The 25,042-nt window shown below is 41.1% G+C and overlaps 1 protein-coding gene across 1 annotated transcript in view; it reads left to right on the forward strand.

Moving 5' to 3' along the window:
* The window catches only part of LRMDA (leucine rich melanocyte differentiation associated), a 1,128,545-nt gene that overhangs the window by 190,357 nt on the left and 913,146 nt on the right, over window positions 1–25,042 (forward strand). The gene's annotated exons all lie outside the window — the stretch shown is intronic.

Raw genomic sequence — 25,042 nt, forward strand, 5'->3', positions numbered from 1 at the left:
CATTTCTCTGAAACACATAATCCGGGGGCCTCAGTATCTTTAAATGCATAAATCAAATAGTGACTTGATAGTGTTGGCAATTGCCTACAGCTCAGGCGCAATTCACCTGCTTTGGGTTTATACAGTGAATAAATTGGCTGAAAAGGTAGCTGTGTGTATGCATACATGTGTGCATTTAATTTTTTTAGGGGAATGTATTTAGAGATGATGGTATAAGAAGAGAGAAGATTCTTAAGGCATTTTCTGTGAAGTTGAAAATAAATTCAGACATAGACAAAGATGGGGGAAATATGAAATTAATGGTGTTTTATAATGAATTAAGAACAGTGAAAAAATATGATACCCCAAAGATAAGAGGATCAAGACAGATCAGATGTCCATGTGCACAAAATGGTGTGTGTGTGTGTAATTATCTTCTTTCTCCTATTTCCTCCAATCCCCCTTTTGAGCAGGCATCTGGGCCATTGTGCATGTAGCCTTATCTACCGTTTTTACTTTCTGCAAAGTCATATGTTTTTAGCTGTGATTGCAGTCACTACCAAGTAGCTCACCTTGTCTTGAGTAATGAGAATAAACAACTGGTCACTGCATTGACCACTGAAACTAATAAAGATATATAGTGCTGGGCTGGCTTAGGGAGTCACAGACGCATTCTTAAACTCTATGTGACATTTATACCAAAGGAACATGATTCCAAACTCACTCACTGCTTACCCATTCTGAGAAAGAACAAACTATTTGACTGATGGTTTGCTAAATTTAATATGCTTAGCAAGTAAAATTATTGCCTACTCTAATGCTGTGTAATTATTAAGATACACTGCTTTTAAAAATACCAAGTGAATAATATTGATTTAGTGAACTGCTATTTAGAAAAATGCCAGCAAAGGAGGAATATTTTATTTTAGCTGCCTTAGAGCTGTAATGGGTCTGGGCTGAGATATGCATGTGGAAATAAATTATGTACAAGGTAAACTATTTTGTTATACAGTACCCATAATATTAATTAAGCCGTAATTTTACCAACAATGCTTTAATTTAACAAATAAACAGGAATCATCTGTACCATTCTTTCAAATATATAACTCTGGGGCCATAATAAAACATGCTGAAGCACCTGCAGTTAATTGTAAAGCAAACAGTGAGACTAGCAACTTTAAAGGGTAATTGTAATTTATAATTTATTTATTTGATTTATGCTGGATATAATTACTGTTATAATGCATTATTATTTTCAGTCCAGCATTAGATCTATCTGATTCCAATTTAACACAGGCAGCCTGGCAGAGCTTTCTTCGTGGGCCCCTTGAAAGTGGGCTCTGCTCCCCTCCCTTTCCTGGAATGGGAGCTTGTAAAATAAAGAAGAATGGATGGGCTACTGTCAAAGACAATCCTTGTTCAAAGCTGTAAGAATATTTTCATTTCCATTAAAGCCAAGAATTTTTCCTACCCTTTCAGTCCTTTAGATAGCAGTATTGTGGAGTGACATTGTCAGGGTCTGCACACAGCTCAAGCCACAGTGAATGGGCCAGGCTGAGGACTCCAGAGGGAAGGGGTGAAAGGGACTGACTGCAGGAGCTCAGCGTTTTCTTAAATTCGAGTCTGAGAGTTGCTAGTGTTTATTGTTGTGGTGTTTTTGGTCTTTGTTGTTGTTATTTTCAAGAGCAGCCTGGAAGAACAGCACAAGGAGGAAAAATACCACCACGGAAGAAAAGAAGCAATTATAGCAGACTGTTTGTTTGTGGCTAACAGAATGCTGAAATGGCAGATTTGCAAATTTGTAAGAGAGGGAAGCTTAGTGTTCATCTTTATCAGCCAAAGTGGTTTCTTTTTAGCTGAGCAGCAAGCTAGAAAGCAACCGATTTTGACAACATAATTTACATCTTTGTATAAAACTATCGCTGGCAGCCGAACTAATTTGTGCTGGATTAGGTTGTTTGTCTCTGCTGCTGACTAACCATGCAATCTATCAGAGGCCGTTTTCAAATATCACTTTTCAACTGTGCACTTGAGAGGGGGAATTGATCGGGAATATACGGAGCAAAATTACTCCAATAACTTTATAGAAGAAACAATTACGGAATCATACAGATGTGAATAATTCTGAAAAGTAGAAACAAATATAATGAATTTAGCCCTGTTCCTATCCTTCATGTGCACATGAAACTTATAAATAATACAATAACATATTATTGGCTCTGTTTCTTCTCTCTTTCTGGATCTTGGTTGTCGATGACAGAATTAGGAGAAAGACTAAGGGAGGGGTCAGTGGAAAAAATTCTTGGAGATCATATTTGAGGATTTTGAGATATAGGTTTTATGTGGGAATGTCACTTATGAGATGTTGGAGAGAATAGTTAATATACACATATCCCTTAGAATATGTCTTTTTATCCAGGATAGGTTTTATAAGTTTTAGAGTAAAATGCTGTGATAGAGAAAAAGAGGTATCAGTCAGGCAGATATATGTGTGTTACCAACATGGGTGATAAACATGGGAATGTATTTTATCACATATTTCTACATTATATTAATAATTTTACCATGGAGAAGAGGAATGGAGTCTCTCTTATGCTTTTAAGTGAATATTTTAGATGTTTCTTCCTGTCCTCAAGGGAGATCTAGGATGATAGAATAATATAAAGAGGGCAAAAGCGGGGGTTGTGGAATTCACAACTGATAACCAAGCTGGAGTTGTTTATAAAATGCCTGAGATTAGCCAGCAAACAAAAAAACCATTAAGCACCTATTACTTTAAAGCAGTGGGCACATTTTTCATCACTTTCCTCTGATAAATTTTCACTTGTGCATCCTGCTCCAGGTAATTAATTGCTTTCAGTTCAGTGGAGTAATAATGCAATAAATTATGCCAGTATTTCTAGTCAGAGGATCATATTGCAGCTTCCTAACCAAGGCACACTAATAACAATCCAGGAGACTTGTGGGCCATGAAAAAGCCCCATTATTATAAATTGGTTATGTAAAGAGTCACAAGACCAAGTCTTCAAAATTTCTTTCAGACAGTCGGATTCAGGGAAGTTTGCACATTCATAAGTTTGGGCAGGATAGTCCTGTGGTAGAATCACATAGTTAGTCTCAGCCCTGGAAGCTTTGCAGACACCAGCCACTCAGTAGTGACAGTGGGACTGCTGCTGAGTTGGGGCAGAGCTTGAGTGGGAAGGACCTTCCTGATGGTAGTGATGCTGTGATAATAGTTAATGGTGTGTTGAGTGGTTGCTGCATACAAGCACTGTTTTCAGCACTTTACATGCACCAACTGTATTTAATCTTCATAACAACCCTGTGAGAGAGGACTATCAATATTCCCATTTTAAAGATGAGGAAACTGAGGCACAGACAGCTTAGGTGACTTGTCCAACTGATAGGAGACACAGGATTCAAATCAAGGCCATAAAGCCCGAGAGTCCGTTTCTGTCTTTTCCTATGCACTGTACTGCATCTCAGAATGAGATATTCTCAAGACTCCAGGCTGATTAGAGTAGATCAGGGTAGGGTGGGGTTGGAGGGAGTCAGGGTGGTGCCACTTATTTGGTAAAAGTAATTTTGTATCTTCCTTAGTTATTTATCTAGGTGAAAATATCTAGTTATTTATCTTTGTTCATCTTCTGTCTCTAACCTGTAGATTTCTTGCTACAGCTTGTTAATTTCTCTTTCTAGGCTTAAAAATAACACAAATATCTGCTCATTCTCCTTTCTGTAAAATACTTCAATAGTTACTGTTCTCTCATCCTATCCCCCCACAATCTTTTCCTTCTCAAGTTCCAATTTTATGAAAAGTATCATAGAGAAAGGATTTTTAAAGACATCCATGTTTTTCTTTATTACATGGTATACTTTTAATTTTTAAAGTGGAGAGAGTATTTTTTTTTTTTGAGGGTCTCACTCTGTCACCTAGGCTGCAGTGCAGTGGTATGATCATAGCTCACTGCAGCCTTGACCTCCTGGGCTCAAGTGATCCTCCTGCCTCAGCCCCTTGAGTAGCTGGAACTACAGTCATGCCTGGCCATGCCTGGCTATTTTTTTTTTTAATTTTAATTTTTAGTAGAGACGGGGTCTTGCTATGTTGCCCAAGCTGTTCTCGAACTCCTGGCTTCAAGTGATCCTCCCACCTTGGCCTTCCAAAGAGCTGGGATTACAGGTGTGAGCCACCACACCCGGCCAAGAGGATGCTCTATTTTAGCTACTCACCACCTACCCGTGGCACAGACATGCCTCAGCCCCACTGAGAACAGCATGCGTGGTAAGATAACCAATTGTCCTTGGTTCCAGCTGCTCATGGAATGACAGCCCGACATCATTCCTCTCCACAATCCTTTGACAAGCTAGAGGTTTTCTTGCTGCCTTTACTTTTGAGTGGTTTTTTGTGCTGGTCAGGGGTAGGGGGCAAATAAATGTGCTCTAGCAGAGAACCTGGGGCTGACACATCAAGTAGGGGTGGAACCAGGAAAGGGAGACTATGAATTGAGGAAGAAGAGAAGAACTGCTCTTCTTTGACCTCAGGCTGGGGTGACAAGTGTCTTACCAAGTTGCTAGGGAGGGGAAGGTCCTCTTGGAGAGTGTTTAAGGAATAGGGTGAGTAGGCTTCATGGAGTTTTGGATGTTTTCGTATTAATTCCTGTTCCAATGACAAGTCCTAAAATCTACCATTTGGCAGGTTACAGTGCAAACAGGGAGGTAGAGAGCATGCCACTGTCCACAGCTTTCCCTGGGTACCCACAGTGAGGGAAAAACATACAGTTGTTTATGTGACAGCAAAGCCATCTTCTGCCTGTATGGCCTGATGGTTGCTGGGCTATGTTGACTGACAGAGAAGTGGACAGGCTAAGGTTGGAGGGTCACTCTTCTGTGTTGGTGACAGCATCCCTGTCTGGTTTTCTACAGCCCCATCTTGGGTGGACATTCTAGTTGTTGCTCCAGCCATCGGGCTTTGACACTAATTTACTACCACTAATGCTGTGCTGTCCCTTGAGCTGAAGTGATGGTTGCCTCATGACTGGATGCTTCATTTATTGATCCCACCTTCTCAGCCCTCCCTGGAGGAAGGGCTGCATTGGTTCATGCTATAGTAGTCAAAGACTATTTTAGGTTTGGCCTGACAGATGGCCAGTGCTTACCCTTGCAAACAAGCTCTCTCATCTAAAGTAGTGACCTATCAGTTGAGCTTGTATTTTATTTTCTATGTCTTTTACTTACCAGTGAGCTCTAAAATTCAACTTCAAATAGTTATTTACACATATTAGTTTTCAGACACACAGTGTGATTTTTTATATTATTTGTGAGCCAAGGGTTGAATTTCCTGAACAAAGTGGGAAGCAGGTGGAAGGGAGAGGGATTTTCCTTGGAAACTGTCTCCCCTATAACAGTTTTCCTGTGTTCTTCTGTTCTCCAGATATTTGAAGATATGGAAAAAGATGATTTTTAGAAAAGATCATAGGTCTTTAAAGAGATGAGTTATGGCAGTTTTGCTTCATGTTTGGGACTGATGGAAAGTCAGGAGTGGAGAAGGTTTGGGCCACAGATGGGATTGATGAGTCTGGCTGTTCAAACACAGTCCATACAGACTCCACAGAAGGTCAGTGAGACAAAAGGCAGAGGGCCTCAGTTACTGCTGTGGGCAATACTCAATCAAAAGCAAGAGTGGAGAGCACAGCAGACAGTCTACCACGATGCTTGGATCTCACTACCAACAGAAATCTACCTCTACCACAGGAGAAGAAAATCGCCATCTCTGAAGCCCCAGGCACCTGCTATGGGCTTGCTTCCAATCTGGGGAAGATATGAACACTAAATTGGGAGATTTCAGATGTATTCAAGACCCAGAAAAGATATGTAGACTCTTCATGTAGTAACAGTAAAGGCTTTGTAAATATGTATCTTTTAAATCGCAAAAATAATCATGTTTGCAATTGCTTGTTTTATTCTCTGTCTCTCCTATTTGCTTTCACTGAGTGGGCAGGGATCCTGTCTGTCTTGGTCAACATATCTCCAGCATCCTGGATGGTGCTTGGCCAGTGGTTAGCCCTCAGTAATATTCTTCAGTGGAAGAAGAGCCATTGTTGAAATTTGGAAAATATATCTGAGTACAAAGAAGACAATAAAACATCATCCATAATCAGACTACACTGAGTTGACTGCTGTTATAGATTTTCTTATGTATCTTTCCAATCTTTTTTCTGTGTATTTCCCTACACCTACAACTACTAATACTGAGAGCTACATTGTCCACTCTCAGAGTAGGATGATAGTGCATAAAGTTTAACTTTTCTGTTTGTCAAATTTATAAAATTCCCTGGCAAATGGCAACACAACCTGATGGACACTGGTCTGTGACTTGAGCTTTATATTATGAAAAATGCTAAGTTTGAGGGTGGAAGGTGTAGAAAAGATAATAAGATTTCATTCTCTCCTTTTTATATTGTTCCTTTGAATCACAGAACAATTACACTACATTTTCTGCTGGTCTATGTACTATTCATTTTCCAGCTATGAACCTGATTGCACTGAGGATCAAATGTACTTCACAGTGAAGATAGGAATATGATTTGGAGAAGAAAGAGATGTGAGGTATTGCCCAGACTAATAATGCAAACTATCGAAACAATTCAGTCATTTTCATAGAAGTCTCCACAGCTTGGTTCTGCTTGCTGAAAGCCCAGCAAACATCAGTGGAATGCTTGTGCTCCCTTCTGCAAGCCAAAGCCAGGGGACCCCCAGCACTGTTAGCCTCTGACAGCCGGCACCACCAGACCTCCAGCATAGTCACCCATTAGAACTGCTGTGTCTCCTCAGTGGGGCTGGCCATGCATGTGCCACTGGTTTCCAAAAGTCCACCTGAGTAATGCTGAGAAGGTGCAGGCTGGGGCACTTGCCTTTCACACTGCTTCGTGGCATCACTGCCTTAGAGTACCCAAGAAAGCCAGCAGCCTCCTCATTGCCCAAATAGCCATGGACCCCAAGATGGGTTAAATCCCTCTAGTAGCATTTTTAATGTCTCCCCTTCTTCAGGGCTTCACTGCTTTTCCAGATGTGAAAAGCACGTACACTTACAGTAACCCAAACCTGTAAGTGAGAAGCCTTTTGCCTCTCTTCTTGCTCTTGTTAGAGCTGGCCACAGAGCACTCAGTTACCTCACTGTGACTCCCCAGATACTGCCCTGGGGCAGAGACCTCCTCTCATCTGAGAAGAAAAGCTGGGAGGTTGACTTAGCATTCAGTATGAAAAAGGCCCTGCAGTCATCATCTTCATCTAGTTGGGAAGAAATGGTGGGCAAGTGAAGCTGGAAGTTTTCTATTAATATAAATGATGAATTGTAGGTTTTCTTTCCCCAATCTTTTCTTTTTTCTTTCTCTTCCTCCTCCTCCCCTTCTCCTTTCTGGATTTAAGAAAGGGTCCTCAACTTTGTAATTTTAAAACATGTTCTCCTACACATGTCATTGCTCTTTCTAATAGGATCTGCCAGAATCGCTGTGTGCAGAGCCCTGCATTTTCACGTTATTATCTCACTGTCTATCCCGAGTGTTATAGCCTCACAACGACTTCCTAACTAATCAGCTATTTCAACTTTCATTCCATAAGCTTTATGTCTGAGTGTAATTAAATGAGCATTAAGTCCTCTTTTTTTTTTACTAGCAAAGCCTGAAAGTTCTGATATTACAGTAATAAGTGTGAAGTGAATTTTGAATGGCATTTATATCTGTTCATGGGCTCTAAATGTTTGATTTGCATAACTAGTTAAAATGATATCAGAGCAGCATATTGATTTAATTCCATCTCAGAAAACTGTTAATTAATAATGGTAATAAATGTGTCAGTCCTTTATTATCTGCTTTGAATTGGTGATGATAGCTATATTAATACCACTTCAGTAATAGACCTCTGCTGGCTATTGTTGGCAAAACTTTCAAGGCCTGAATCATCTGCAATCAGAATTTAGAAAATTTATTGCAGATCAGTTTTAAAAAGAACAGCCATTCCATCATATATGTAATTTTATTAACACCTACATTTTAATTTAACATTTTATTTACATAAATCATCGTGATCAGGAGCTTTAGGAGCCTTTTAAACAAAGGCACTTTTTCATTTTTATATCCCAAGTTAAAATTTGCCTGATGGAAGGCCTGGGCCTGGGGTGATCCCTTCTCGTGGAGTTGGCAGACCCACGGCCCTCCTGCTGCATTTTCCTCCTGGCTGGGTGGGCCACTCTGTGGCTCTCATTGTTAAGGCAGAATTAGCTGGTTCTGTTGCAATGCCCAGGGCTTGTATTTGTGTGGGTATGGTGTGATTGCAGAAAGCAGGAAGACCATCCCCCGCTTCCCTCTCCACTCTTTGAAGGACTAGCATAGTTTCGGAGACCAGTCTTCGCTGGTTTTTGCGGGCAATGCAAATACCAAGATGGCCTCTCCATCGTTGAGTTTCTGGCAAGCAAGCAAGCATAATATAAATGTCTGTCTTGCAGTTTCTAGGCATTTCCCCAGACTGAGAGCTCCAGGGCCTAGTAGTGCCAGGTTTCCAGAAGGGATATTAGAGTCCCAAGAAGAAATCTTCTATGAGGCTCTCACAGGCTTAATCTCCATCATACTCAGTAGCCATGACTGTTGATGAATGTGTGTTGAAAATTTCCAAATCTCTCTGTCAGCTTTGTTTATCTACAAAATGGGTGACTGGTTAGATTAAATGAGATTTCATAAACATACATATATATCACAAGGCATAGCATTCAAAAGACATTTAATGATTGGCAGTCTTCTCTTCATTTCTCTTAAGGTGTAAGCACACATTTAACCATCCCTTTCCATGCACAGACTGAATAAAGACTTGGGCAGCCTTCATTCTTGGAATCAGCAGTTTTTCTAATTGTTGATTCTAGAAAAAGGAGCTGAAGAACTTGCCACTTTCCCCATCCGGAGTTTGCCCTGGGCCTGGCTATGTGGATATAAACATGGTCTGTTTACTTGGGGCCTGCTTCCCTCCTCGTCCCTCATGTTTGGTTCACATTCATGGCTATCAATGGCTGTGACTTATTTGGAATCTGTGTGAGATCTGCTCCTTTCTTCTCCTGCCCCAGAGCCAGGCCTGAACTTGCCTTTACCTTGTGACTTTCCTGCTGACTTCTTCTTAGGAAGGAAATTTCTAGCTGTGATCCCATGTTTCCACAGAATCTTCTCATTGATTATCACTGAACTATGGCCCAGAGAGTTTTTAACATGCCCAAGACCTCGTACTCCTCACCCTAAGTCCTATATCCCTTCTACCTCCCCTGCTGCTCTACTCAGGTAGCTTGTGGGACCTCACTGCAGCCACCTGGAGAAAAGAACCCCAGCTTCTTTTGCAGTTTCTCTATCTTTTGCAGTTTCTGCTCATGACTCCCCTTCTAATGTCCAGGCAGTGAACCTCACTGCACCCCCCCCGCCCCGCCACCCAACATGTTGCCAGGAATAGAGTGCTTTGGCCATAAGATCAACTCCCCAAATCTCCCTTAGTGTGATCTTATTATTGGTCCTTTCCATTTTTGATGGGGGGGAAATACCCTCACGTCCTTTGTGTGAGCCTGTGATGGATTAGCACAGCTTGGACGGAGTGTTGCTTTCCAAACTCCTGTGGGTGTGTCTCCAGCTGAATGTTCCTCTCCTGACTTTGATTTCTCTCTTGGTGAGTCGGGGTGTAATTCGCCTTGACATCACTGGCCATCAGCGCCACAGTGAAGTGGGCCTTCTTTGACTCGAAGTGACAGCTCTTGGCCCCTGTGACATTGTTTCCATAGATTTGCAATGAAACAGTTTTATATTTTTCAAAATAGAGTGATCTCCTATGACTGGCATTGATGTGGTTTTCGCCATGGTCTTCTGGAGGGTAAAGCTGTTTCCATTGACCCGCCCTAAATTGATTCCCTTATTCTGGCATCTGGACACATTGCTCTTAGGCTGCCTGGGATGATGATTTTGTTTGTTTGGTTATTTTTAAAATCAGTGTTGGATGCCATAATGTGTTCTGTCCTTGTATGGATCCTTTCCCTATTATTTTGTTGGCTCCTAATATTCCCAGACGTTGGCTGTGCTTCTGGCAACCTTTATACTTCTGCTCTTCTACATTGCATAGCAGACAGCATCCCAGAGAAGAGTCAGCTTGGTACCATCCCCTGGGAGCTTGGTTACTCTAGTGCCTTTCCACAGAGAGAATTTGAGATAGAGTCAGAGGGATATCAGCCTCTTAAACTTTTGTCTATGATGTGGAAATCTTTGGAAAGATGATTAGGGAAAGGTATTGGGCTGTCCATTGGAGGTCCTTACTTTTCAGAGAGGCTTAAATTACAATCTGGTTGTTCTCAGCATTTTCTAAAAATACTTGGAGGCAGACGAGGATGTCTCATCATCCCATCTAAAAAGAAAAGAGTGTTGTGTTATCTCTTTTTTCTTTTTTTCCTTGAAGGCTCTAACCTTTGGACTTTGAAATTTACCATCTTAAGTTAGCCAAGATTGAGTATCAGGGATGGCTTTCCTAATAAACTCTCAGACTTATTAGAAAGTTTAGCGTTTAGAGAAATATTTTAATATTTTATCTAAGCTTGCAACTCTCAGACTCTCACCTGAGTTATATGCTAAAATGTGCTGGGGATTAAAAAAAAGATCAGATTTTCTTTTTTTCCCTGATATGTGCCTTGTGGAGAGGGAACCATGCTGACTTTGTATCAAGTGTAGGGAGAGCCTGTGTCTTTTCTGATGCAGAAAGGCTGAACATGTCCCTAAAGAGTGAGGTTAGTTTTTTTGTTTAGTTTAGTTTAGTTTTTTTTTTTTTTTTTTTTTTTTTTTGCCAAGAGTCTTTCCCCCAGTGTTCAGAGCCAGGCAGCCACGTCTGCCCCAAGATGTCTGGTCTGGGCTTTTGCCTTGTCATTGACTTTGCTGTAAGGATTTTCTCGACAACTCCATGCAAGTGTTTCTGACAGTGGCTCCTCCCTGTGGGTTAAGGGAGGGGGTCCCAGGGGAGCAGACTCCTGGCAGAAGATGTGGGGAGGGCTTGAGCGTGTGTTTGAGAGGAGATGGGATGTCAGGCTCAGGAAACTTCTCTGGAGCTGTCTCCCAAGGCATTGAGAGTATTTACATATAGTCTGGAAAAAAATTAAGACCAAACTTCGCAAAGTGACGGCTTTTCTTTTCACAGCCTTTGTGCGCACATTCTTTTAGATCCTGGCCTGGTTCTTTCTCTCTAGTGGCCACAAACCTTATGGCGTAACTTTCTAAATGGGGAGAAGAATGTCCAATTTAGAGCCTGCACTTAGAAACCTGGGAATAGTTGGTTTGTGAATTTTGGTGGCAGTGAGTAACCCATTGTGTAAGTGAAGACGTTGTTACTGCAGAAGCTGAGTTTAAACATCCTCTTTGATAGTGTTTGTATGAATTTGAGTGTACTTTTCTCCACTCCCTGTGTGGGTTTGTATTCTTTAGTCCCAGCTGTTTGTGATAATTCACTGTCAAATACATAATTAACAATTTTGTAAGTCAAGTTTAGTGATGTTTTTACATTCATGCACTGAATGTCTTTTCTGTCTTAAGCCAGGTCCATCTTTTTAATTTAATGTCCTTCCAGCCCCAGCCCCGAAGAAAACCTGTTTCCAGAAAATTTGTCATTCTAATATCTTTCTAAAGAGGTAACTGTATCAAAGTGGACTTGGGAAACTGTATCAAAGTGGATTTGAGAATACAGATGTGGATTGTGGTGTGGAATTGCTTTGGAATTCAAAGCTGGTAGTGTAGACTGAGTTGATGATGGATCCAGTTGTAAATAATTTTTTTGCAACAGATGATGTCAGTGACAGTTTTATAACTGGGATTACAGTAGACTAGAATAAGTTGTTGGAATATGGGTGAGAAAGCAAGTCAGAACCAAGTGTTTAGTCAATAAAATAAAACCAAAGAGTTAAAAAATTAAGGAATATCTATTTACGTGTTTTATTTGGAAGCACACATTATAGTGGCTTCACCCACAGTGTGCTGTTTTAAGCATTCATTCTAACTTTCTGATCTTAGGAAATTTATTAATATAAACAATCTCTTAGGGTCAAAGGAGAAAACCAAATTATCTTAAGGGAATTCAAAATTCATTTCTGATAAAATATCCCGGTAAACTAGCACTGGAGACTTAACACGATACAGACTCTTTACCTCAAATCAAAAGCAGACATCTTCTTTTGTGGCCCTATATTAGAGAAAGTCAGGGTGGAGATAAGGGTGGCCATGTCCATTATGATTTAAATTCAGTACTTTCTTAATTTTGGAAGATCTTGCCTAGAGTTTATTGGTGCCTTTTGTGATGAATCTGACCATTAAGCATTCTATTTTCTCCTGCCCTAAGTTTACAATTTTTAAAAATTAGTTGCTAACCTTTAATGAACTGGAGGTTTCACCTGCCTCCCCCCAAAATCCTTATCTCTGACTTCTTTTGAAGATCTGGGAAAATGAACTCTTTCTCCTGAGGGTAACCTCAGAACAGAGTGGCAGCTGCTGCCTATAGACACAGAGTGGCATTCCCCAGGTGACCAGTCCTCACCTGGCTCAATTCACTCTGTATGTTACCTGCCCGCCCCAGTGGGCATTTGAGCTTGCAATCCCTGCCTCAGCTAATGCAGTAAGATAAGAAATTGAAAACAGAGGTATAAGGAATGAAAAGGAGGAGATAAACATATCATTATTTTTGAGTGAACTCATTGCTAATCTGGAAAATCCAATCAAATCAACTCAAAAACTATTAAATCAATTAGAGTTATATAAAGTAGTTAAAATATAGAAAAATTCATATAGCAAACAAAAATGGAGGGGAGGGGTGGATATGTCTCATTTCCAATTAACACTAACAACAAATACCTACAAATTCAGAAGAAAGAATGGGGGATTTATATGAGGAAAACTATAAAACATTACTGAAAAGGTGAAAGAAGATGAAAAAAGGATGAAAACAACCATATTCCCAAATAGTCCAAATTTATCAAGTTGAAATCCCATGAAAAGGTAGTCTTCCCATCTCTTAAGGGTCCATGAAATTCCTTGACACTTTTTTAAGAGAAATGTGAGAAATTGCTGCTTTGCTTTGCTCTGGGTGCCTAGGAAATTGGGACCTGTTTGGGGCAGTTTCCAGGAAATGGGAACAAGGGAATGCAGGCTCTGATGACCTTTGCACTACATTTGTGTTTTGAGTTCGTAAATCAGTAATTGATAAATGACAGGCTGGACCTCAGCTGTCTTTAAGGAACTCTTTGCCAGCAGTTACTATTATTTAAGTTTTTAATGAGCCACCTTCAGGCCAGGGTGGACTAGAGCCCCGAGAATTGTGCCTGAGTGTCTGCAAGCAGGATTTGGCCTTTCGCATGGTATGATGGCCTTGTTTTCTCCCTTCTCTCTATTTAATGACTTTTGAGGAGTTGAGGCTATTGGTTGCTGGGTGGTTTCTATTTTCAAAGTCTTTCAGTTTTTGGAGAAATTTGAGTCTGTCTGTCCCCCCAAAATAGAATTCAAGGTTCTGGCCTTAAAAACATGTACCAGGAGGCCTAATTTCTGTCCATAATTAGGGCCACAACCATCACCCACAAGGGAAAGAGATGAATGGGCCCAAAGTGGAATGTTTCTGGTTCTACAGTTACAGGGATTGATGAAAAAAGATGCATTTGATTTGAAGGATGAAAAAAATTGGTCGTTATTGACATTTAAAAGGATGCCCACACTTATTTTCCTGATTACATTGTTTGTGCAGAGGCTCCTACCCCTGCATGTTATGTTGTCAAGTTCATGTTTTTCCTTGCTATTTTTTTTTTTTTAAAACGATTGGTCTGCATTCCTGTATTTTCTAAGAAACCCATGGGTTGTGGTTGTGGGCTCGTACTGCACCCTGTTTACTCATTTTTGAGAAGCCATGTCCAAAGTCTCAATGGTTAGTGCTGGAGTGGGAAGTCCTTGTGCTTGAGATTTGAACAATTGTGCTACAGAAACCATCTTATTTAAGAAATTCAAGGTCCATAGGACGTAAGATTTTGTATCTGAACCAAATAAAATTTTAGTATATTTCTATTGATTAATCCTATGCAAATGTTTAAGTAATTCAGTGAGGATTTCTTTTGTATCCATCTACCTATCCACCTATGTACCTATGTGTAGGTACAGGAAAAAGAGTTGAAGGAAGTACATCAGTTATTCCTGGAAAGAAATATTGCATGGAACTTTCCTGCATAAGCTTTAGATTCAGACCTGAATTCAAATCCTGATGCTGTCATTTAGGAGTGGTGTGGCAATTTGACCTTGAACAAATTACCTAGCCACTTTATTTTCTTTATTAAATTTTCCCTTTCATTTTTAAAATCATGTAATCTTGTTCCTTTTAATACCTAGCCACTTTAAGTCTCACTTTCCAATGCCAAACAATAGTGAGGATTAAATTAGAGAATGAGGTAATGCATTTAGCACAATGCTGGTACATGCTAAGCTCTCAGTAAAATATTAGCTATTGATATCATTATCACTACTTGGGCAACAGGATTATAGGTGATTTTAATTGCCTTTTTTCATTTTTTTTCATGAGATGTATTATTTATAAAATAAGAAATAATAAAAAATTAAGCTTTTTTGATGAATTATACATAGAATTTTCTAAATTGATATAGAGTGATATTCTTAATTCATTAGGTGATAAAAATCCAGTAAAGGCCATCAGCCCTGCTGTATTTCTGGGTGAGAGCCCAGCGTCATGAACAGCCTTCATTCCACCTGCAGTTTAGCTACTCTTAAGAATTCACCCTCTGTGGAGTCCACCTGGGGCCGGGAGATCTCTCCTTTTTCTTCTAAGACCAGAATTGGCAAAGACTTTTTTTTTTTTAACTTGTTTATTGGGTATCCATCACACATCTAGGCAATCTGAAAGAAACAAAAACAGAAAACAACCAACTAACCAAAAACAGTTAACTGAAGGGAAAGTATCTATCTAACCTATTGAACACTTACAGTATGCCACCTTTTAGTTTTATATGCATTGACTCATTTACTTTTCACATGTAGGAATTATTATGCCTACTCTATTGGAGGAGACAATTGAGCAATTTGAGGTTCTACAGAAACTGGTAGAGTGGAGATTTGAACTTGGGTCTCTCTGACTTTGAAGCTTGTAAGGTTAACTGATAGACGCTACAGTTTCTCTTTTGGTGTTGGGTCATGACTTACATTGATTCCGTTCACCTTTGTGTGTGACTGTGAACTGTTTGTAGCCAGTTCTGTTCTGATTGGTCCAGGTCTGTGCCTTGTCCATTAAATACTGTGAATATTACCTGTGGTCAAGGAAAGTTGTGCTGTTGCAGGAAGGCAGATGTGCTTTATTTGGGAGCTATTGACAGTACATACATAGAAAAATGGAGGCAGAGACAGAGAGGGGGAGGGAGGAGGCGGAGGAAGAGGATAAAGAAGCAGCAGCAGATGAGTAGAGAGAAGGGGTATGGAGTGGAGGGAGACATGGGGAGCATCATTTGCTCCAGGAGACTAATCTCTTACTGGCTGTCCTCTTGGAAAACACGTGTAGCATGTAGTGTGTAGCTGTGTAGTTTTCTCGGAAAGCTGCACCAAGATCCTGAGCTATGGAGATGCTTAGCCTTCCTTGGAAAATGTTGAGAAGGAAAAATTGGAACCACTTGGTTCCTAAGCTTTCAGAGAGCACAGGTCTTTTTAGGATTATTTTACATTGATCACGGGAGTGTCTGTCACACGTTGATTTCTGCCTCCCCTCTGGGTCTCAGCTGTCTTCCTAATAGGCAGCTGCCCAGAGTGGAATGTGGCATTGTTAACTATGAGGGGTGACTGGACTGTCAGCCCGGCTGGCAGGAACCTGGACGCTGGAGGCGCCTGACAGCAACCCCATTTGCATGGTGTGCAGAGAGCACCTGAATCCTCTCTCATTAAGTGTTACCCCTAAACACCAGCAGCACTGACAAACAGCCAGAGACCCTCAAATAACTCCCTTTAGGTCTCATCCTTCATGAGGACAGCATCATGGGGTGGTCGTTTCCAAATCTTTTTTTTTCCTCTTTATTTTAACCTTTGAAACTATTTTTCCAAGTAAGATTTCTTCCACAGAGTCCCAATACAGGATACAGACCAAAGAGAAGATGCTCTGGCTAAAGAATGGGGTGGAAAGCTTGAATCCCAACTGCTTCAGAGAGTGTCTCCATGGAATCCTCAGGTTCCTAGGAACACGGTTTGAGAATCTACAGTTGATGGCAGAAGGCAGGTTTTCAGTGGTGTGGGATTTATCATCTTGGTTTTTCCTGTTTTAACTGAGTGACTGCTGGAGTTTGCTTCCCAGGTTTCCTTCTCAAGCGGCTTTCAGAGCAATAGGCAAAAGGTTGAGAATAGCATCAAAAATTAAACCAAGCCCTACTGCAAGCCAATTTGTAAAAACTGTGTTCCAAACGGCTTTGGGGAAGAGGATGTGACACTGTGTAATGACTTCTTGGAAAATTTGTTACTTTTTCCCCTTTCTCTGTCTCCTTTCTTTCTTCTCTCGCTCTGCTTCCCCCACCCATTCCTGATTTGATGAAACCGTTTGTGATGTCCAGCATATATTTTGCTGCACACTGTGTGTTGTTGTACTTTAGCAATTTATAACTATGATCAATGTTGTGACCTTAGGGAAATTGCTTATATAATTATAGAAAGTTTACAGTCGTAAGACAAGGAATGGGGAAAATATATCACTGTAAAATATAAATATGTTTAAATTACATTTAGGATTTGGAATAGTTCCTTGCTTGTGTTTTACAGAGTAATCTGTGATTTAAATCAGGTTTAGTTGTGTTTTTTCCCCCCTAAATTGGGTATTATAAATCAAGAGTAGATGCTGGATATAGCACACAAGAGGATTTCTTATACATTTTAATGTTGCATAAGTAAGAAATACCAGTAGTTCAGCAGTAAAATTGCAAATGTAAGCAAAAGTGAAGATTTTTCCAAATTTAACTAGGTTGCATTTGTTTAGTAAACTCCAGCAATAATTTACTGTTTTATTACGTTTGCCTTTGAGATCTAGGCTGACTTTTTTGTTCCCTTTCTTAAGAAAGAAAAGGGAGGTACATTACTGTAATTGCTCAGAGCTAGAGAAAACCATGAGAGTACCATTTTGCGTTCCCCACCTGTGATACGTAAACTTAAAAATGTAGGGAAGATAGGATTCTTCTTCAGATTAAATGTATTTGTGGGTATATCAGTCACCCAAACAAGGCATTTTTTTGGTTGGGTCAGACTTTCCATTTGTGCTGTTTGTGGCAAGGCTAAGTGTTTTTGTGCAAAAAGTAGTAGAATGTGTTAGACCTGGCTTTACAAGTGTAAGCAGAGGCAGGTCTGCTGGTAAGGGTGGAGATGAGGGAAGGGGAGCCGAAACAGTTTGGCTGTGAATGGGCACATATCTTTCTTCAGATTCTTTTGGGGTCTCTGGAAGACAGGTAGGCTTCATTTGAGATCAGTCTCTATTATGGCAAATGGGTGAATTTCATTAGACTTAGACATGTTGAGTGCTCCAGAACCAGTGTTGGCACCGTGAAGAAGTTGGGCAGAGGGAAGTTCTCTCATTCAGCCATGCGGCTTGGCGTGCAGTGCTCCTGAAGCGGCTGATTGTCTCCCACCAGCCCCCTCCCGCCCTGTGCTTCAGATGGTTAACAGGGACCCCGGCTTGGTTTAACTTAGGTTTGAGAGAAGTGAACTCTGGGATTGGGTTGGATGATGTTGATTAATAGGAGTGAGAGGGTGAGAGACTCCAGGGCCAAGCAGTAGGTCCATCTTGGTGGCATCTGATGTTGATTGGCTTTGTCCTGCGCGGCTGCGCTCGGAGAGCGGACATTAAGATTAAGTGATGCTGTCGTGTTGAGGAGCACGGCACTGCATCATTCTGGGAAGAGACAGCTGGGGTGGTTAATCCTTCATCACCAAGGGAGCACTGCCAGCAGAAAGATATACAGCCAAAGATAACCCTCCATAACTTGTGCTAAAGATCAGAAAACTTTGAATTCACATCCATCTGCTTAGTCTGGGGTGAAGATGAAAGATAGGCAGAACAGGAAATAAAAAACTCCTGAGGGATTAATCTTAGGTATGGTATGTAGCCCACAGAGTGAGCAGGCGGGAGAGAAACTTTTACATGGCGTTTAAAGGGAATTAAATGCACCTGGTTTCATAGCAGCATTTTTAAAGTAAAATTAAATGGTACACAGTCTGATTTTTTTGTTGCATTGCCATCATTTTCACCCCAAGATGCTGCTTCCCCCCATTAGGCAGGTAGATGTTTTTCTTTCTAAGGAGGTACTCTTAAATCTGCATTTATGGACAATGAACAGTGGATGCAGATAGGAACACTGGAAATACTAATCAGCAGACAGAAGAGCATTTTGCCTTCTCCCCTCCCTTTGTGATTTTAGCAGGATGTTCACAAAGTCTGACTGTGTGTCTGCATTCTGTGTATCTGTGTCTGAGTTTAGATCTGAAATTCTCTTGCTGTGAATATTTCTCAACAGCTGCAATGATTTTATATATCACGTGTAATCGAATTATGCATTGTTGCCATACCAAAGTGATGTGCAGGGGGGAAAATAAATCAGGGAGGGAAATAAATTAGAGGCCCCTCTCCCATCTGCAGCCTCTGCATTCCCATAGCGGTCAGGCTGGGGAGTGTCTGTTGCAAGGTGAAAATGCTGGGGAGAGCAGAGCTATAGGCTCTGTCCTCAGCTGACTTTCTATGTTGAGTTCAAAGGGAAGCTTTTTTTTAAACAAAACAAAACAAAACAAAAACCCTTCAAGTGATATTTTATATTTTTTTCCCCCATGCCAGTTTGGTATTTGAGAGTCTGAGTGGGGGATTCTCAGTTTGGGGCCTGGGCCACTTGCATTGATGTGCTGAGGTGCAAGATTCTTCTGCCAGCTTCCGCATTACTTGGGCTTTACTGCACTCCACCTGTGATTGCAGGGCCCTGGTGAAGAGGATGACAACAGTAGAATACACCACTGTTAAGACACACAAGGAAGTAGAGGTGGAAAAACACTTTATGGAGAGTCAGAGACCTGGGTTTAAGTTCTTGCCAAGCTCTGTGAACTTGAGCTCTGTGTCATTTTATCTCTCTGAGTGTGTTACAAATGAGAAAACTAAGATTGAAAGAGATGAAGTGACTTGCTTAAGGGAGGAGAAAGGGCCAGTGCACCCTTGGGAGGTTAAAAAGAGAATAACAGATGAAATTCTGTATTTTTGGTTAGACGATGGGAGGAGGAGCCATCGGTCCTCCTTTGCTCTACTATGAAAGGCTTCCTACAGAAGGTGTATCTGTGTGCTGAGCTGTCCAGGATGGTCTTGATTTAGAAAATTCAAATAATACATTAATATGTGGATATGTTAATATATAATATATATATATACAGATATTATTGAAGTTTATAGTTTTGGTTTTTATTTTTAATAAAGATAGTTCATTAAATAATGGTTAAATGTGATTTAATAATTATTATTTTTAAAGACAGAGTCTCGCTGTCACTCAGGCTGGAGTGCAGTGGTGCAATCACAACTCAATGCAGCCTCGACCTCCTGAGGCTATATTTAAAAAAAATTTTTTTTTTGTGGAGACGGGGTTTTGTCATGTTGCCTACGCTGGTCTGGAATTCCTGGGCTCAAGCTGTCTTCCTGCCCTGGCCTTCCAAAATGCTCAGATTACAGGTGTGAGCCAAAAAGCCCTTGCCGTGATTTAGATAGATTTGGTAGATTTCATTTAAATAAATCTACCAGAAAGATAAATATCCAACTTAGGAAGCTGAGGTGGGAGAATTACTGAACCTAGGAATTTGAGTCCAGCTCAGGCAACATAGCAAGACCCCTACCTCTTAAAAAAAGAAGAAAGATAAATATTCTTTGTCAGGCCATGAAGTTTAATTTTGGATCTGGAAATAAGTTATGATAAATGTGCAGAGAAAGTGTATTGTACTCATAACTCCTCACATAGCAAACATGGGGTGGATGATATTCTCAACCACTAAGAAGCAGCTCATCCAAGGGTCTCTTTCCTTCAAAGACCATTACGTTGGGTTCTGTTGGCTGAGAAGGGGGTAAAGAAACAGATTCTTCGCAGATTCATGAACAGGGTGGATCTGAAAGTTTATCTTGGTGTGAGGCTCACGTGGAAAGATATGAAAAGAAGAAAAGTCTCAGCTGTAAGATGTAGTGGTCTTCATCTGTTTGAGCCTCAGTCTCAAGTCCTAAGTCTGCTAAGCATGAACGTTTCCCTGTTGGTTCCATGGTGAGTATCCAGACTTGAATCCCTGACTTCAATGTCCAGAGGACCAAACTGGGGGATTGTTGATACTCTCCAAGCTGGAAGTAAAGTGGAATTTGTGGGAGATGTGATATAAGGGCCTCCGTTTGTGGTAGTGATTGCTTTTCAGGGAATTTTATACTTGGGAACAAATCATCGGGCCAGTGAATGTCAGTGACTGTTGGGTAGTGAATATATTTTCTGCTTGGATCCCCCAAATACCCAACTTTTGCTGTTTCTGGTCACTGTAGGGTTAGCTCTTGGCTGGTCTTTTGGGAGGTTTTCCCAGTCTGAAGGGCAGTGGAAACCTCTGCTGATTCCCTATGCAGTGGATGAATTTTTGGCTAAAGTTGTCTTAGTTCCTGCCTTATTTACTGGTATAGCAAGTTGGTGTATGTGGCATAGGTACACCTTGCTTTATGTGAAAGTCACACCAGAAGGGCAGTAAAGGGGAAACAGTGCTAACTCTAGAGTTAGCAGACCCAGGCTCTGGTTCTCACATGGCCTTTGCTCCCTCAGGCTTCCTAGTGTTCCCATGATCTTTTGCTGAATTACTTCAAAATCTAGGGATTTGAAACAAGCATGTCATAAGCACATGTATTGTGTGGGTCAGGAATTTGGAGAGGCCACAGTGGAGTGGCTTGTCTCTGGTCCACAAGCTTGGACCTGGGCTGGAAGGACTCAAAGACTGAAGATGACTTGATGCTAAGGGCTGGGATTATCTGAAATGTCTCTCCATGGGCTTGGCTTCATGGCCACCTCAGCACGGTAGGACTTTTTAAAACATTAAAAAAAAATTTTTTTTTGACAATTTCTCTTAACACTTTTTTTTAAACTTTGTTAAAACTGATTTCACTCATTCATACACACATTCTGATTTCAAGAGAGTAGGTTAATTGATTCAAGTCATTATTGTCCATGCTAACTCTGGAAGAAACTGTGTAATAAATAACTAAGGGATTGAAAATGGACTCTAAATTCATTTGTTAGCAGTATGACATTGGAAAATATAATGCAACTTCTTTAAATCTCAGTTCCTCCTTTGTAAAGTTGCGATACTCCCTATTAGAAGATCAATAAGTCCTCTTCCAGGCTCCAAGCGCAAGTGTTCCGGGGAATGAGATGGAAGCTACATCCCTTTATGGTCCAGCCTCAGCAGTCACCTGGTGTAACTTCCCTGCACTCTGTTGGTGACAGTAATGCCAGCCTGCCTAGTTTCAAGGGAAGGACTTAGTCTACCTCCAGATAAGGAAATGGCAATGTCACATTCTAGAAGGGCATATTGCTGTGAGATGTGTGATACCCATCTTTGGAACATATGCCACATCAGATTTCTGTTCTGTGAAATGAAGAAAAATGAGTTGGGGCTGGAGTTAATTGGTAAGACCTCTTCCAACATTAGAATGATGCAATTCTTTAAAATTAAAATCCAATTTTCTTTAAAAAAATAATTTACAAAATGATGATATGCTTTTTTAGAGAGTCTACTTTAGGATATCTTTAAATAGAGAGGTACCCTGGTACAGTAAGAAAAAACTCTTATGCAATGTGAAAGACACTGATATGAGTGATGTGAGTCCTGTATTTTCCCCCCTAAGTTATTTCAGCAGAGTTTTATGTTGATTTGTTTTTAGTGCAGCTTTATTTCTTGTGATTTAAGAATAATTAGGTGGCATGTGAATATCTCATCATGATTTCCCTGAATGTTAAGTTGGACATGAGTTAAATGTTCGAGACATGGGATTCAGGATTAGAATGTAAGCTGGAGATCTGGGAGGTGATTAGACTTTGAAATAGGACCCAGGAACACTTGTAGCTTCCCTCTTATCCCAAGACAGGGATTAAGATAGAATGGATGGTGACCCTTCTGGAAAAAGCTTTTTCCTTGCTGGGAAGAGGGGTAAATCATCACCTTTGGCAGTGGCACCGTTCTGATACCAGATACAAGGTTTGAAGGAGGATGACTGTGGGGCAGCTGCCCTCAGGAAGGCATCACAATTAAGGAGGGAAGGGGTTAATACACTGACTAATGTTTTAGTTTACAGGCACTGGCCCTTCTCTTTGTTCTGTTTTATCATACACATTTATCACGTTCAACCTGGCAACCCAACCAAATAGCTATTTAAGTTGTAAAAATGAATCATAGCACAATTTCATGAACTGTGTGATATAACTGAATCTAATCACATTATACAATGGGGTCTTTGCCAGCATGGTGTACCTGGTTCTGGGCTTCCTCAAAATAAGTAAATAAATAAACAGGCTTCATTAAATACAGTCACAGCAGGGTGGCTGAGCCGGCTGGGTTGTGGGTCCAGGGAAGGATGCAGGCAGATGTGTCACACTGGACCCTTAGGCTTTTGTGTGCTAGCTCATCCCCGAAAAGCCTGCAGATCACACTGGCCCTCTTCTATCCACTGCATGCCGCCAACTGATTCTCTAGTTTATTAAATACGTGGCTAGAGGTCCTGGAAAGGATGTAAACCTCATGAATGAGAACTGCAAAGAAGGGCTTTACCCTACTTCACTTCTGCAGAATTCCAGAGCTTGCTTACTCTGTCCTAATTGAAAAAATGAATAAACACAAAGTCTCTACCTCAAGGCCCACTCTTAGGAGTGGTGTCTATTCATGTGTTCAGCCTCTTTCTGGGTGCTTTCTCTGTGTTACTTATTTTACTCTTTTTTTTTTTTTTTTGAGACAGGGTCACTGTCTCCCAGGCTAGAGTGCAATGGCACGATCTCAGCTCACTGCAACCTCCGCCTCTTGGGCTCAAGCGATTCTCCTTCCTCAGTCTCCTGAGTAGCTGGGACTACAGATGTGCACCACCACACCCGGCTAATTTTTGTATCTTTAGTGGAGAAGGAGTTTTGCCATGTTGGCCAGGCTGGTCTTGAACTCCTGAGCTCAGGTGATGTACCCGCCTCAGTCTCCCAAAGTGCTGGGATTACAGGCGTGAGCCACCGTGCATGGCAACTTATTTTACTCTTAAAGATAAATTGTGAACTGTAGGTGATACTGTCCCCATTGTTATAGATGAGGAAATGGAAGCTCAGAGAGGTCCAGTAACTGACTCAAGGTCACTCAGCTAGTAAATGTCAGGACAGAGATTTGAACTACCTTGTGGGTGGTAGAAGAGGCCAGAGAGGAGGGTGGGTTGGTGGGGGGTGGGGGCAGGAATAATCAACTGTGAATGTCGGAGCTAGAACGTGGCCTGGTGGTGGAGGTGCCAAGTGCTTTACTGCAGTTAGACTTGATGCTGTGGGTCGGGGGAACCCATGGGTTGGGAGGGTGATAGTAGCAATGCTGTGTAACAGAGTCCTGGTGGGGGAAACTTGACTTAAGGGGTGGACGCAGGCGGGAAAGACCTACATGGAACTTGGTGTCTTCTGGCAGGAGGGTAAGAAAGGCTTGGACTGAAGCACTAGCTGGTGGAGTAGAGAGATGAGGTCAGCCTGGTGGAATATTCCTGGGGTAGAATCAGCCACTTACAAGAGAGTCTCCACTTGCCTTTCTTGCCAATACTGGTAGCCACTTGCATTTATTCTTTCCCTTCTTCTCATCCTTCTCTGTGTCCTGCCTTTTCTATTCATCTCTTTCCCCTTTTCTTTGTCTCTCTATCTTTGTCTCCATTTCACTCTTTTCCTTGTTCCCTGTCTTTTTTTTCCTGCTCCTTTCCTGCCGTGATATTTTCCTTCCTCTATCTGTACTCCTAAACATTTTGTGTTGTGCCCCCACCTCCATCCTCACCCCCATTCTTTCTTGGGTCTTCTCTCCCTCCCCCCACATTCTTTTCCTATGGAATAAATAAATAAATAAATAAATTTTAAAATCTGTTTTTCTGTTGGTTGTGTCAGCATGTTTTAGACTGCTGGGCTTTGCATGTTTTGCAGCTGGTTTTGATGCAGTTGTCAGACGGTGATGGATGACTATCATCATTTAAAGTATAAAAGAAAATGCCTTGGCACAGAGAGACATGATGAACTGCCGTCTGCCAGCCTGGATAGGCGCGGCCACCATTTTCTTCTCCCTTCTTCCACCTCCCTCTCTGCTCACACTGCCCTTGCCAGAATCTACAAAAGTCATCGTGAGCCGTGCAGCACCGGGCTCTTGCCTTCTATAATATCACTTTGGTAGTTGTCAGATCATATGAAACGTCAAAATTCATGTGGCCTCCGCGAAGAGATATATTTAGTACAGCTGCTGCATACCTACACGCTACCTCTGACACTGACATATTAGTTATGCTGTCTTTTGCAATCTGATATCTTTAAATTTGCCACCTTGTTAAGTTTTGATTAATGTGATTCCATTTCACTAAAGTAATTGGCTTGGCCTGTTGTAAAAAATAATCAGCCCCCTCTACGGAACAAATGCTAGAACATGCTAATGAGGGAGTGAGTTCGTTACATTGATGGCGTGGACTGACAGTTATTAATGATTGTTATGATAAACAGACGAGTGCGAATTGGGATGAGTTGGGCAAAAGTGACAGTTTAAAAATAACGTATATTGGAAGGTACTAACGAAGTAATATACTGTTAGGAAAACAATCATGCAAGTTGTCAAGGAAAGAAGTGTAATTATACAGCCGTATGGGCTGCTTAGGAGGACAGGGACCTGCCTGATAATGGACACATTTTTTGTTGGCAAGAGGGAAATATGTTATGGCAGAAAGAGGTGCAGATTGATAAATTAATTGGTCCTTCTCACAG

This window comes from Homo sapiens, chromosome 10, assembly GCF_000001405.40.
Source record: "Homo sapiens chromosome 10, GRCh38.p14 Primary Assembly".
NCBI lineage: Eukaryota > Metazoa > Chordata > Mammalia > Primates > Hominidae > Homo > Homo sapiens.